The sequence below is a fragment of the Homo sapiens genome, chromosome 4, assembly GCF_000001405.40.
Source record: "Homo sapiens chromosome 4, GRCh38.p14 Primary Assembly".
Taxonomy (NCBI): Eukaryota; Metazoa; Chordata; class Mammalia; order Primates; family Hominidae; genus Homo; species Homo sapiens.
This window is the reverse complement of record NC_000004.12, coordinates 138,815,057-138,831,544: the sequence shown is the minus strand read 5'-3', so window position 1 is coordinate 138,831,544 and position 16,488 is coordinate 138,815,057. Positions and strand designations below refer to the sequence as shown.

General features: G+C 40.3%; 1 long non-coding RNA gene across 1 annotated transcript in view; it reads left to right on the top strand.

Annotated features, from left to right (window-relative positions):
- The window catches only part of LOC105377448 (uncharacterized), a 192,690-nt gene extending 181,102 nt beyond the window's left edge, over nucleotides 1-11,588 (top strand). Inside the window, exon 3 of the long non-coding RNA NR_133945.1 lies at nucleotides 11,468-11,588. This is a non-coding gene — a long non-coding RNA (uncharacterized LOC105377448). The remainder of the gene's footprint in view (nucleotides 1-11,467) is intronic.
- Nucleotides 11,589-16,488: the final 4,900 nt, after the last annotated feature.

Genomic DNA, 16,488 nt, shown 5'->3' with positions numbered 1-16,488 from the left:
GAAAGAACAAAGAGCTCAGAATCTAGATTGAGGTCCTAGCTCAAACATTTATTTGCTGCATGATATTGGGCAAAGCCTCAGTTTTTAAATTAATAAAATGGGCCTAATGTTATTACCCTTACAAGGCTGCTATAATCATTAACTGAGATAATATATGTGCCTGAGACAGGGCCTGGTACAGAGTAGTCACTCAATAAACGGAAGTTATCCTCTTTAATCTCCCAGACAATTAAAAATAATACAGCCAGGTAATGAAGCAGCTTAGGGACAAGGTTGGCTTATAAACATAAATAACCTCCATATTAGTTTTCTGGGTTTTTCTGTAAAAAATCACCACGAACTTGGTGGCTTAAAACAACACAAATATATTCTCTCACAGCTCTGGAGAACAGAAGCCTGACAGTAGGTGTCGGTAGGGCTGCATTCCCTCCCAAGAGTTGGGGAGAAAAATCCCTTCTCACCTCTTCCAGCTTCTGGTGGCCCCAGGTGTTTCTCAGCATTTGGCTGCACAACTCCCATATCTGCTTCCATTTTCACATGGCCTTGTCCATGGTGTCTGTCTTCTCTTCTTTGTCTCTTATGAGAATACTTGTCACTGGCTGGGTGCAGTGGCTCATGCCTGTAGTCCCAGCACTTTGGGAGGCTGAGGCAGGTGGGTCATCTGAGGCCAGGAGTTTGAGACAGCCTGGCCAACATGGTGAAACCCCATCTCTACTGAAAGTACAAAAATTAGCGGGACGTGGTGGCAGGCACCTGCAATCCCTGCTACTTGGGAGGCTGAGGAACAAGAATCGCTTGAGCCTAGGAGGCGGAGGTTGCAGTGAGGCAAGATCGTGCCACAGCACTCCAGCCTGGGAGACATAGTGAGACTCTGTCTCAAAGGAAAAAGGAAGAAAATCTTGTCATTGAATTTAGGGCCCACCTGGTTAATCCAGGGTGGTCTCATCTCAAGATCTTTAACTTAATTACATCTGCAAAGATAATTTTTCTAAATGAGTTTATGTTCACAGGTACTCAGGATTAGTTCCTGGCCATGTTTTTTTGGGGATCACCATTTAACACACTATACCATCTGTGAAGGGAATCTAGTGACAAATTATTGTCCTGGAGATGCCCTTCAATAGCCTTTCACTGTGCAGACACTGTGCAATAGACTCTGGTGAAATAGAAAAGGTGGTATTTAGGTTGGGGCAAGATACAAGCCATTGGCCTCTTCTTGGTGAGATTTCCCCTTCACACTGTATTTGTACTGTCTTTCTCCTTTCACTGAGTGTCTGGCTGCCCCTTCCACATTCTTCCCAACCCATTTAGGTTGAGTTAGACATAAGAAAAATGTCCACTGGAAGATTTGGATGAGGAAAGGGGGTGAGGGTGAAATGGTGTTGTGGTTCTGCTTTATATCCTTAGCTACCTGTTTACGTGGGACCAAACTGGAAACAATAATCTTTTAAATGATGGTTATCATTCCAAAGTTCTCCACCTCAACAGGCTACTTTGTATTGACTGTGATTCTCTATGGAATACAGTTTTTAAATTATTATTTATTATTATTTTTATTTTTAGACAGAGTGTCACTCTGTTGCTCAGGCTGAAGTGCAGTGGCACGATCTTGGCTCACTGCAACCTCCGCCTTCCAGGTTCAAGCAATTCTCATGCCTCAGCCTCCCAAGTAGCTGGGATTACAGATGTGCACCACCACGCCTGGATAATTTTTGTATTTTTAGTAGAGATGGGGTATTGCCATGTTGGCCAGCCTGGTCTCGGACTCCTGGCCTCAAGTGATCTGCCCCCCTCAGCATCCCAAAGTGCTGGGATTACAGGCATGAGCCACCATGCCTGGCCTGAGCCACCGTGCCTGGTGCAGAATGCAATATGGTCTTGAATTCAATTGCAAATGTAGCCAGAGGTCCCACTTGGAATTTAAGCTGTGTGCAACATGGGTTCAGACAAGTCTGGACAAGGCTACTAAACTGGAGTGGTGGGGGACCAAGGGAGGGCTTCTGACAGCCCTTAGTGCTGCTTGGCATGAAGGACCCAGGAGCATTCTAGGAGAAAATTCACCCCACTGGGAAGAAGGAGACAGCATGACCCTCCAACCCTAAAACTTCAGAGGGGAGGTGGGATTCTGACGCATGTTGTCTCATTCTCAAATCTGCCTGTGGTCCATTCCTGGGTCTTAAGGAGAAAGTGAACTGGAAGTTAAAGCTGAAAGAGTGGTTTGACTACCACTCTGTCAAGTACTGTGGCATAGTAATGCAGTTTTTATATTGCTTTCCCAGAGAATAATGGAAAATCAGGTGGAACAAGAGAAGCCTGGGAATTACCGGGCTCAGCTCTGGCAATGCCCAGCTGGATACCTCACTATCCACTGGGAGGTGGCAGCATTTGGCAGAAGTGGTTCTAGCCAGTGGAAATGACAGCTCTGCTCAGCAAGGGTGGCAGTACAAGTGGGACAGGCAGTTTGCCACAGAAACAACAGTGATGCCCAGCAGATACTACTGGGTAGCAGACCAGACTTCCCTGGGAGAAATTTCAACATTCATTTAACAAATATTTGCTGGTTACCCACCATATGCCAGGTAATAGCAATACAATGCCAGGGGGACACAAATGGTGGGCAAAACCCATTGTGGTCTCTACTTTGTGAAAATGTTCAGATACTGGGGCTTGCATGAGCAGACAGAAGCAAAGAGGAATAGAATTAAGCATTTTTTTAAAAAAAATAACCTCATCTCATTCCAGTCTAATGAAATTTGGAAAATGGGATGCCATGTATTATAGAGCTTGCAGTCATGCTCAAGCTTAGATTTTAGCCCTGAGGTTTGCAAAGAATTCTTCCACACCTAATTAATTTTAAAAATTAATTGACAAAATTATATGTTTATCATGTACAGCATATTGTTTTGAAATACGTATACATTGTGAAAGGGCTAAATCAAGCTAATTACCATATGCATTACTTCACATACTTATTTTTTGTAGTGAGAACACTTAAACTCTACTCTCAGCAATTTTCAAGAATGCAATAAATTGTTATTAACTCTAGTCAACGTCTAGTACCATAGATCTCTTGAACTTATTCCTCCTATCTAACTGAAATTTTGCATCCTTTGACCAACATCTACCCCAACCCCTAGTAACCACTATTCTACTCTGCTTCTATGAGTTTAACTCTTTTAGATTCCACGTATAAGTGAGATCATGTGGTATTTGTCTTTCTGTGGCTGGTTTAGTTCACTTAACATAATGTCCTCCAGGTTTATCCATATTGTCACAAATGATATAATTTTCTTCTTTTTAAAGGCTGAATAGTATTGTGTATATATCCCATTGTGTATATATTGTGTATATATCCCTGGTTTTCTTTATCTGTTCATCTTGTTGATGGACACCTAGGTTGATTCCATATCTTGGCTATTGTGAATAGTGCTGCAGTGAACTTGGGAGTGCAGGTTATCTCTTTGACATACTGATTTCATTTCCTTTGGATACATACTCAGTAGTGGGATTGCTGCGTTATATTGCAGTTCTATTTTTAATCTCACCTGAACACCTTTCTGCAGTCAAACGCTCTACCGCTGAGCTATGTGTGCCCCCTCTCACCTGAACACCTTTCTAAGATAACAGGCCATAGGCTGCTCAGCCTTTTCACTTAGGGTGAATGCTGGTCATGGATCCAAGACCCAGAGGAGGGATGGATGGTGGGTAGAGTGGAGAGATGAAGTAGCAGAGTGCCGGATGCCAGTCTGAGGGTAGTTCTGACTAGAATTTGGATCTTATTTTGTGACTGTGCTTGCCTCAGAGCAGTGTTAGTGTGTGTATGTGTTTCCCCCCTGCTTCTTCTAGGCTTAAGCTAGTTACTCCACCATTTCCTGGAGTCCAGTGTTTGTCAAACTCCAATAATGTGTACACAAATGTACTGGAAATCTTGCTAAAATGCAGACACTGATTCACTGTGTCTGTGGAGGGGCCTGGGAGTCTGCATTGCTAATGAGCTCCCAGGTGATGCTGAAGCAGCTGGTCTATGGACTACACTTGGAGTGGACAGGTTTTAGTCCGTGAGAACACTGCCTGCAGAAAGCCTCTCGAGCCATTTCTAGTTTGATGATGACTTTGGAGCACTGCCTGCCTCTCTTTTTGCCAAGATTCAAGGAGAGTGTTTCCTTATCATTTTTTTCTAAAGCCTATTATTTATGAATACTATATATATTTTTTCTCCAAAGATGAGGTCTACCTGCACTCCATAAAGCCCATATTTGGGCTTCTTATATCAATACATAACTTTTCTCAGAGTGGTGCTAACACTGCTGGTGGTGAAGCCCTAAGTACAAACCTGTTTTAGGAAAGAAATTCATCTTGTTAGAGGGAGCCGAGCTACTTACAAGGCAGATAACGTTCTGCAGCTTGCTGAATTGATGGAGAGAGGCACTGGGATTCAGACTCACCTATTTTTCATTCTTTGAATGAAGTCTATCTTCTGAATTACATGAGCCATGTGAAGCAGGGAAAGAGAGCAATGGTTCTGGAAACAAAAACAGAGTTCTTATCTTTTAATACAGAAGAGAATGCCTCAGGATATTATTATTTGTGATTTATGGGGTGTATAGCAATATGACCAGTGTCTCACCACAGCAGACACAGGACTCTGACCCTCTGCCTTTGATGAACTCTTGTAGCTTCCCAGGGGCAATTTTCCACCGTAGAATAGCTGCTGCATCACAAAATTCTGGCTTAAAAAATCATACTGAATGAGTTACTAGGAAACTTGATTTCTATTTCCAGTTCTACCACTGACTTATTCTATGACTTTGTCCAAATTCTTTAGATCTTTTCACCTACTAGTAAGGTTAATCACACTTGCTGTGAATATTTGCCTGTGAGATATCTTGAGATATGTTTATTAGCTAAATTTTCTCAAATATTTGTGAAAACTCAACTTTCTTCCTGAAGATATATCAGATTTCACTGACAAGATCAAACTATGTAAATGAATAAAATCAACTAAACAAACAAAACAATGAACAGGATCATAGAGGCCTTTATAAGTCAGGAGTAGATGGCAAGGCCAATCTCCCTCCTTCCCTCACCCCCTCCTCCTTTCATTTCTTCCTTCCTAATTTTCTAAAACTTTATTTTGAAATAATTTTGGACTTATAGAAAAGTTGCAAAGATAGTACAAATAATTCTGGTATAACCTCCATCCAGATTGCCTAAATGTTAACATTTTGCTGGTATTCAGACATTCGTTTTCTCTTTCTTTCTCTTTGTGTGTGTGTATCCATACCTATCTCTCTATGTCTATATGTTTTTTCTGACCTAATTGAAAGTAAGTAAAAGACAAGATAGATGCCCCTTTATGCCTAAATATTCACCGTTCTCTTATATAACCATAGTAAAGTCATACAAATCAATAAACTACATTGACAATAGTACTAATTCTATTATTTATTCAAATTTTGTTAATTATCTTAATAATCTTTTTATAGCAAGAGAGGCTGGGCATGGTAGCTCACGCCTGTAATCCCAGCACTTTGGGAGGCCAAGGGCGGCAGATCACTTGAGGTCAGGAGTTTGAGACCAGCCTGGGTGACGTGGTGAAACCCTGTCTCTACAAAAAATACAAAAATTAGCTGAGGGTGGTGGTGCATGCCTATAGTTCCAGCTACTAGAGAGGCTGAGTGAGAGTATTGCTTGAACCTGGAAGGTGGAGGTCGCAGTGAGCAGAGATCATGCCGCTGCACTACAGCCTGGGCAACAGAGGGAGACTGTGTCTCAAAAAAAAAAAAAAACAAAAACTTTATAGTAAGAGAAAAACTATTCTTTGGTTTAGGATCCAGCCCAGGCTCATGTGTTATATACAATTGTCCTGCTTCTGTGTCTGCTTAACCTGGAGCATTAACCCAGTTTTTCTCTTTTTCATAGAGAAGGTAAATTCCTGAGCTTAAGAGAGTCCATGAAAAGTTGAATGGATAAAAGTTATTTTATTTTAACAAACAACCATAAAAGGCAGCTAGGAAGTCCCAAAGTTGAATTATGAGAATATTAAAGTTGTTTTTTAAAGTTATGAAAATAGGGCAATTATAATAAAAATTTTAAAAATACAGAAATGAATCACATAAAAATGAAAGTCCTCCCTCTAATCCCACTTTTACTCAACGCTGTTAAAAATTTTTGTATTTTTTTCAGATCCTTTTCTATGCTCATAAAATACATAATTTATAACTTGTGCTCTTTTTAAGCCAAAATGCAATCAGACTGTACATATTGTTCTATAACTTTCTTTTTTAAAAAAGTTACTTTGTCATTTGCATCTTTCCTTATCAATTTATGCAAGTATATGAGGGTCGACTTTTGTCATCTCTAGTGGGGAAGCCCTGACCTGAGCCCAAAGTCTTCCATTTTGCTTTTGGTAGTAGCTTTGACTTACTAATAAGTTTGGAAGTGTCCTTGTTCACTGGGAGAGAACATTCCTTTTTCACACCTAGTTGTCCAAGTACACACGGAAAGTTTGGGAAGCAAACTCCCTCTTTGAATTATTTGGCCCTTTCTGACCTTTTCTTTCATGGTATCCACAGATCCCTCCCTTAATTTATGGCCCCTTCATGGAGGACCTCATTAGGGTGACTGCAGCCTGGGAAGGCTTGATCATAACTTGGATAATATAGTTTTGAGGTTGAACTATTTCAAAGGTAAAAACAAAGTATGAAAAAATGTTTAAAATAACACTCTCAACTCATTAAAATCTGTCTCTTTTGCATTGCAGCTAGAGTACAAGACGACATGACTGGTGATTTTATATATATATATATATATATATATATATAAAATACCCATATACACACAAGCACACACACATGCATTTTGTTTTTTCTTTTTTTGAGACGGAGTCTCGCTCTTTAGCCCAGGCTGGAGTGCAGTGGCATGATCTCGGCTCACTGCAAGCTCCGCCTCCCGGGTTCACGCCATTCTCCTGCCTCAGCCTCCTGAGTAGCTGGGACTACAGGCGCCCGCCACCACGCCCAGCTAATTTTTTGTGTTTTTATTAGAGACGGGGTTTCACCGTGTTAGCCAGGATGGTCTCGATCTCCTGACCTCGTAATCCACCCGCCTCGGCCTCCCAAAGTGCTGGGATTACAGGCGTGAGCCACCGCGCCCGGCCTCACACATGCATTTTGTAAAGTTTCTGTGAGCACATATCTGGGAACCATCCCCATGGGTGTTAATTTGTAACTGTTTGGATACTCTTTTATCTGTATCCTAGATTAGAAGTGCAGCTGTTTTCTCCAGTCTTAGACACACTTGCCTGATCTTGGAATGACTTTAGGGGGTTTCTTGCAACTGTTTTGCTGAGATCTTTAAGAAAATCAGTCTTAAAGATTGGTTTAGGCGATTTGTCGTTTGGTTCTTGACTGGATATTTTCTGGACCTCTCTGACCTTTGACTTTATTTATCCTTTGCTTACACTGACCTTATAGTGCCTTTAAACCCAAGAGTGCAACGAGGCAGTGATGATCCAAAGTTTTTGTGAGCTTGATGGCTGTATTAGTGGTTTTCCCATTTTGCTTCTCTCCTGCAGCCTTTAGCCCTGAAAGCATTTTGGAACAGGGTCTGTTTTCCTATAACTGCCTTCTTGAACTTGTTGGGCAAAATCAGAGCAGTGATTGAGTCCTCAACACCCTTATGGCACTGCAGAGTAATAACATTTATCACAGTTCTTGTTTAAGCCCTTTAGAGATGACATTTCACAGTGTAATTTTGCTTCACAGATTTTTCCCTTGTGAGTTTTGACTTTCAGGGCAGAATTCTCTCTTATGGCTTCACCTTTTTCCTATTTTGTGTATCTGTGAGAAGTTGCACAAATAAGGCTCCTCTCAGCATAGCAAATGGAATCAGGTCACGCTCCCAAGTGACCTTCACCTCCAGATTCCTGATTGTTTCTTCCTTATTTGTCGTGAGCAGGCCCAAATTGCCTCACCTCTAGCTGCCCTTTCCACTTTATGAAACAAGCAACTAACAGCAACACAGCTCTAAAAATTCCCGGATGACCTGAATTTTGCTCTTTTTATTATCCCTTAAGAAATGTCTCAGTAATTGAAATCTAGAGTAGCAGAGTTTTGTGATCTTTTCATTTAGCATTTTACTTATATTTGGTTTATGTATATTGTGCCTTTAAACTCAAGAGTGGTCAAAGTGTGCCTGAGGGACCTGGAGGACTGAAACCAAGAATATCGTCATTTATTCGAAGGACAGAAGTTAAACAAGGGTTTTAGCACCCCCACTTATTCGGGAGTTAAGAGGAAAAGGAGCAGGAGGATGCTGGAGAATTTTAGTAGGTAGCAGCAGGGAGAGGCGAGACATATATGCAGAGATTTATACTGCATGCTACATTTTATTTATTTATGGGGACATGGGTATCTGTTTTTTTCCCTCTACAGTAATTTATCAGTGAGTTCATCGTGATTTAGTAGTGCACAGAGGACACCCACTGCTAATTCCCCTTTATTTCGTATATTTCTTTTACCTTAACTCATACAGCTTCAGCATTGCTACTTCCTTTATCATCCATCTGTATTTCATTGCAAGTCCAACTCTTTTTGATCTACAGCGCAAGCCCTCATTTTCCCACCTCTTTGTCCTCTCTTCACAGATTGCGTTCCTCAGTATTGACATTTCAGTCATTTGATTTATCCTAACAGGTTCCCCAGTGCCAACCAGATCATAATTCCCTTTCTGGTAGCATCACTTCAAGACCTTCCTGGTTATTTCCCTTGGCTCCTAGTATTTGTGGATCAGCACCTAAGAGATTTACTGATGATTTGTCTCCTCTTTTAGCTTTCTGTTTGCTTAGATCCAAATCACAGGTGGTAACTTGGGAGGCCCGAGGATATCTGGAATTGTGTAAAATGTGAGCTTTGTTCTGCTTGGTAGGGAGTGCTGGAATGTTCTATCTCAAGCATTTTCACAGAAGGGACAACTCTGGAATTGCTTCAAACAGAAGGATCTGCCCATGAGCATTCTGCTAGTCTTTGTAAATCAAATGCCATCTACCAAATTTCCCTGAGAGCTTCTGGATGGGGAAGAACTGGATTATCAGTTTTCAAAGTGGATTATCTTTTAAAAAGAGGAAAACACCTGTAAGAAACTCATATTAATTTTGGTCAGAAAAGAGTAAAATACTCCTTTTTTGTGCTATTTGTTATTATTTTTTTACCAGTACTATATTTGTGGTGTCTGACCACACACACATACATAGACAGATATATACATATATAATAGACAGACATAGGAGGGAGAAAGAGAAAAATATTTCTCTGTTTTGAATTCTCATGATGTTGACATTAAAATACTGAATGCTACATTATGACGAGACCTTCAGTTGTCCTGATTTGCATTCGTGACATGTATTTCACATCTATTTCTCGTGTCAGACAAGAGAAAACTGCATAGATTTTTCTCTCCCAGTTCCTTTACCTTTCTTTAATCAGTTCCTGTGATTCTATGTACAGAGAGATTTTGAAACTTATGTATGATATATTGGGGATTGGCTATATTAGGTAAAGTAGCACTCTTGCATTGTTTTTAAATTGAGTGTAATCTAGGAACTTGTCCATTGTTTAAAATTATACTATATTGCCATGAAGGATGCTCATAACTCCATTCTGCTTTACTCTGTAAGGCGTGTGGGGCTGAGGTCTTTCAGGGATGTACTATGCTTACTGCCTGGGCTATTAATTGATCCTGGCTCACCTCATGATGGAGGATAAAAAATTTTCTAACTGTGGATAAGAAATGCCTACCAAGAAGCTGTTTTTTGGCTTTGTTCATTGCCAAGGAAATAATGAAGATAAGAACACTGTGGTGTCTTGTCTTTACCACCTTTCCTTCATCTACAAAATAAGAGTTTAATGAGTCTCCTAGTCCTAAAACCAAATTTGAAATGGACTTCTATTGCAGCTGGAGGGATTTGGTTAGCTATGAGGAAGAATTTCCTGACTCTGAGGATGTCAAATTGCATGAATGGTTTTATAGCCACATTCTCAACAGACCGTTAAAAGTTTTTTTTTTAAAATCTCTTCCAGATACCTGAAGGCAGAGGGCGACCCTTTGACGTCTCAGGGCCATATATCAGTTCCCTAACAGTGAAGCCCACAACAAGTAATACTAGTTTGTAATTTCTGATAATGACACATGGATTTCTGCCTAATATTAATGATCCAGTAATTAAAAATTTTCCTAAAATTTTATGAAATGAATCCAAACTTATAGGTAGGATGACTACGTAAATAATAGCAAAGCAGTGACCAAAAATGCTGAGAGAAAAAAAGCATGGGGAACAAAACCTAACAAAGAATATTTGTTTATTATCAGAGATAAATAATATAAAATCAAATTAATTTACTTGTTTTTGAAATTCATTTTTGAAAAAGAACAAAAATTACACACACAAAAAAGAAGCAGTAGAATTAACACCTCATTTTTGAATGACAGTCACCATGGTGTCTCTCTCTTTGAGGGCTCAAAAGGAAAACATAGTATTAATATTATTTTTCAAGATATTAGAGGATGAAGTCAGTAGGAAAATATAATCTGTATGCCCAAAAGGTCTATATTGCTTATCAAGTTTGAAAATAACACATGTATGCTTATTGGGGGGAATTGCCAAAAAGGAGAGTGCAACAGAGGAATCAACATTTTTCACTGATCTCCAACATTTAGAATGATTTTACTAGGTTTAACCAATCCTTACCAATTGAATTTATGTAATGCCGTGAAGAATTTAGTAATCCTCTTATAATAGTATGTACTATCTGAAATCAGGAATATGCTGTAGGCATTGACTAAAAATGTATGGGAAGCATGGAAGACAACACTTAAAACAGATTCCTTACTACATAGCCATAAAAAAGAATGAAATCATGTCCTTTTCAGCAATGAGGATGCAGCTGGAGGCCATTATCCTAAACGAATCAACACAGGAACAGAAAACCAAATAGCGCATGTTCTCGCTCAGAAGCGGGAGCTCAACATTGGGTGCTCATGGACATAAAAATGGCAACAATAGACACTGGGGACTAATGGATGGGGGAGGCAGAGAGGGTGCAAGGTTGAAAAACTAGCTGTTGGGTGCTATGCTTACTGCCTTGGCAACTGGATCATTTGTATCCCAAACCTCAGCATCACATGCTATACCCATGTAACAAACCTGCACATACACTCCCAGAATCTAAAATAAAAGTTGAAATTACATAAAAAACAAAAACAAAAAACAAAACAGATCCCTAAGTATTGAGCTATGGCTTCTCTTCAAAACAGCTTCTCACAGATTTTTTTTTTTTTTAAAGCTGAGAAAGAAGTACTGATTTACTATTTATATAAGGGGCGTAATTTATCTGCAACTGATTAAAATGATCAAGTATGTAGTGACAGGCCTTTATATTCCAGGCAATGCTTCCTTTGTGTTTTTCAGGCAAGAATTTCTGACATGACATGGGAAAAGCTGAAGAAGTCAGTCTTTGGGGTGTGTTTTCATCTAGGAGGTGGCTTGAGATGGATTCATGGCAAATCACAATAAATTATTTATCAGATAATAAGTGTGATAATTGTTCTTATTTATCATCAGTATAACTTGCCTTGTTCTCCTGTCATACTTTCAATCAAACCTTCCCCAAAGATTTGCTGGTTAAAATATACAGCCAAAAGATCGTTCCAACAATTTTTACTCATAATGGCATACTGATTATCTCCTAATTGAAAAATGTAAACAAGGGGCTCTGTAAGTAATGTGAGTGACCCTTGCATTTCTAACACAATAAGGAGAGTCACTCTGTACCTCATTCATCCTGCCATGGGAAACAGTACAATTCTCAGTAATTTTAATGTTCTCCTGAATTAATTGGAAATAACTTCTTTGTTTTCCATGGAGAAGGAAAAAAAAACTCCACATGCCCAAATTTGCTGAAAAAGTAGAGATGTAAAATACTACTCACTATCTACTGTCCCGCTGGCAGCTAATCCATTGAAGCTTAATTGTAATTATCCACCAGGTCTGGGCCCGGAGAGGAATACCGATTACCGTTATGTATGTTTCCATGGGCAAGACTGTGTATTGAGCCTGTTGCGAAGTTTCAAGCAAATTTATTTCTACCGGCAGCTGTAATGGATCATTGGTCATGGACTATTTCTGGACTCGGTGCAATGGGAGAAAATAATTCCAACTTATTTGTGCAGAATTCCTTAAAAGATTGCCAATGTTGCTAAAGTAGATGGGTAGATACCTAGACACCTCCTGCTTTTGTGTTGGGGTACCTGTGATCCAGATGTCCTGGGTTATTTTCTCACTGTTTACCTCTCCACCTAGAAATCCATACTCAGCTAGACAGCCATGTGTTTCCCAAACTTTTAAAATGGGAACAGTGGTTCCCATGAAAATCAAAGTTTTTATTTTTTGAGACAGAATCACTCAGGCTGGAGTGCAGTGGCGCAATCTCAGCTCACTGCAACCTTTGCCTCCCAGGCTCAAGTGATCCTCCCACCTCAGCCTCCCGAGTAGGTGGGCGCCCACAACCACGTCCAGCTAATTTGTCTGTTTTTTGGTTTTTTTTTTTTTTGTATTTTTAGTAGAGTCGGGGTCTCACCATGTTGCCCAGGTTGGCCTCGAACTCCTGAGCTCAAGCGATTGGCCCACCTTGGCCTCCCAAAGTGCTGGGATTACAGGTGTGAGCCACCACACCAGCCGTCTGTATACTTCTCCCTCCCACTCTCCCACTCGCCATCTTTCCCTTCCGCCCTTCCTCCTTCCCCCGCTCCTCCATTTTTTCCCCTCTCACCTGTTTTTGATGTCCCCCAAGGTCATAGCTCAGATTGGACCCTCTTCTAATGCTTCATTTCTCACTGATGGGCATCCTATCATCTGGCTCACAGTTTCTTTTTTTCTTTTCTTTTCTTTCTTTTTTTTTTTTTTTGAGACGGAGTCTCGCTCTGTCGCCCAGGCTGGAGTGCAGTGGCGCGATCTCGGCTCACTTCAAGCTCCGCCTCCCGGGTTCACGCCATTCTCCGGCCTCAGCCTCCGAGTAGCTGGGACTACAGGCGCCCGCCACCTCGCCCGGCTATTTCGTATTTTTAGTAGAGACGGGGTTTCACTGTGTTAGCCAGGATGGTCTAGATCACCTGACCTCGTGATCCGCCCGCCTCGGCCTCCCAAAGTGGCTCAATTACAGGCTTGAGCCACCGTGCCCGGCCTCATAGTTTCTTTAGAGCATGTTGCTTCCATGTGGTCTATGAACCACTACTTGGCACTTCTCTTGCCTAACCTGCCCTTTCCCTTCCAGGTAAGACTGCTTATCCTGTGTGATCTGGGAATTTTTCACACATCTGGGTTGGATCACCCTCTTTCCAAAGTTGCCTAGCACCCTTCACAGCTCTGTTCCACAGGGGTCCTACTGCTGACCTAGGGTTTGCCCTTCTAGGCCAGTTTGCTCTGCGTGGGTTACCTTGATTCCAGGCTCCTTTGCCTTGTAGCATGTTTTCATGTCTCTGCACAGGTCATTTCAGACCCTTTGTATTGTTTCCCTTCCCCCAACCTTGCCTTTATCCTTGGACCCTATTCAATTTCCTCCCTTTTAATGTTCCACAGGGGAGAGCTGGATTTGGTTCTACTACCTCAACTCAGTGTAAGAGCCTTGATCCTTTTGCTTTACCGCATAGTGGAGTTTAGACAGTGTCAGTGTCAACCTTTATAGTGGAGGCCACTTTCTTACTCTCAGTAGCCTGGTCAATGGGCCTATTTTTCAAAAGATCTTGATAGTTATCGCTGTGATTTTATCAGTTCATTGAGAAGCTGGCCAGCCCCATCTAGGAAATAGAGGTTTTTGGTGAAGTGGGTGGTGGTCATATATTCTTGAGGAATGCCATGTAGATCATTTCTTGAATGCTGTTTTGGCCTTAGTATTGATTGAAGTTTAGTGACTCTAATCTTGTGTACAAGGCAAGGAGTATCTCTGGTGATCAAATGTTTTGAATCCCAAATCAGGACACATGGATGAACAACAAGACAGCATATTTGAATTCTTGAAAAATCTAGGATGTTGTATTAGTTATTTATTGCTGTGTAACAAATTACCTCGAAACTTAGTGGCTTAATACAACAGACATTTTTTATCTCCCACAGTTTTTGTGGGTCATGAATTTGGGAGCAGTTGTAGGTGGTATGGGCTCTGGGTTGTTCACAGGGTTGCAGTCAAAATGTTGGCTGGGGCTGCCATTTTCTAAAGACTTGACTTACTGCTTCCAAGAAGACTCACTGACACGGTATAGGCAGAAGGACTCTGCTCATCACCACATAGATCTCTCCATTGGGCTGCTTGAGTGTTCTCACAGCAGGGTAGCTGGCTTTCCCCAGAGCCAGAGATTCAAAACGGCAAGATAGGAGCTGTAATGTATTTTATGACCTAGCTTTGACAGTCACACTCCAATATCCTGCTGATTACATAAGCCAGCCCTATTTATTGTGGGAGGGGACTCCCATAGGGCAGGAATGCCAGGAGCATGGGATCACTGGGAACCATCTAGGGGGCTGGCTACCACAAATGTGTAGACTCATTTATTGTGCTTCACCCTATCCTCTTATCTTTCTAACTGTGCTTGGAAGGTGGTGGAGAGTATTGTGCCTCGCTCAGCTCAGCTGGAAGAGACACCAGGGCATGTTATATCTTTGTAGCACTCAAATCAGGAGACAAAGGGTTCCCAACAGCTATCACAGTTAAAACAAACACAGTTAAATTCATTTTCTCTTTTGTTCTTTATTCCACTGAACTTTCCCAACATGTGTTTCCCAGTGTACTAGTCCCATGAAGTGCTCTACCAAACTTTTTTTTTGTAATCAAACTCTAAGGTTCACAATTTCCATAGCTTGATTGATGGTTCTGACTATCCTTGCAATAGAGATCCTTGTTTCACTTTGTTTAACCCCGCATTTTTCAAATTTATTTGTCCGCTATATTTTAAAATTTTGTCATACCTAATAACATCCTTTAAGCAAATTGTTCTTTAAAACATACATTCTGAAACACTGATTTAGATATCCATAACCAATATTATTCCAGAACAGGTTAAGGTGGTTATAATATTAAAAGTAGCCCATTGAACATATCTGGAATCACAGTCGAGTGTGCCCACTAGACTGAAGTCCTTGATGGGCAATCTTATAACCTCGATACCTAACTCAGTACATAAACTGTGTGTTTGCTGGGGAACCCTCAATCGACCATCCTCTCTACTATGCTCCTAATAGCATGCACTTTGATGTTTCCCTACCCCTGTATGAAATCTCTATTGAAAACTGCTCCTCCAAGTCTTTCAAAGAGCGTTAACCTTCTTTCCCCGGGAGAAGGAAATTTTCTCCACCTACATATAAACTCCAAGAGGCATTGCACTGCTGAGATTAAGCATCTCTTAGCTGGTGTATTTTATGGCTGAATTGTTTGTCTTGGTATGTAAGCCTCTGGGGCATAACCATTTCTTCTTATGAGTCTGGTACAGCACTCAGCACACTGTCAGCACTCAACCCAAAATAAATCATCATAATAATAGTCATAAACATAAATCAAGGGAGCACAATTCAACTTATTTATGGCCTTATAGGAGAAGCACAATAGAAAAAGTGCAGTTATTTTCCATCATATTATCCTATATCATTTCCAAGCAAAATGTCATATTGTCCACTAGTGTGTAACCAGGTAATGAAGGATTTTGGCGTAACCTGCAAATTCCACAAGGCCACAATTAAATGATGTGAGGCTAGAAGCTCATGTTTCCTAAGATTCTATAATTAAAATCTGAATTTCTAGGGCTTATTAAGATAATATTTAACATATAATTATCTTGACATTTTTAAAAGGAAAAGTGTTTAAGACAAATTATGTAGTAATATTTAATCACAAAAATCTAGTTCTGCTCATTTCTTCAAGGTCTGCTCTCTGATTTTCAAGGTGAAAGTTTAATGCTTAGTAAAGATTTTAATCTAATGTTTAATCTAATGAATAATAGTTGATTAGTTAGTGGGTTATCCCACCCATATAACATACTTTTATGTGCAGAGTACTTTTATCACTTTGAGATTGGGGCCACTTTAAAATTTGGGTTTGTTATTCCATATGACTATCAAACTGTAGTGGCCACATTTTCCTCTTTTTTTTTTTTAACTTGAGGAATTTGGAGAACACACCCACACACACTGCCCCCCACCATATATGTGAAAATAACAATCCCGAATATATCTACCACCCATAAAAAACCCACTTGAACATTTTTATAACTTGTTTTTCAGGCTTTTTCCTGGATATATATTTTAAAAACACATAACATATGACTACATTTTTCTTTTTTGAAAAAATTAAAACATTTTGGATAGAGTGGAAATTCTCTTCAACTACCGTCTAAATCTTGTCCTCCCTCCACCCCCTTCTTAGTGGTACTCACAATCATGAGTTT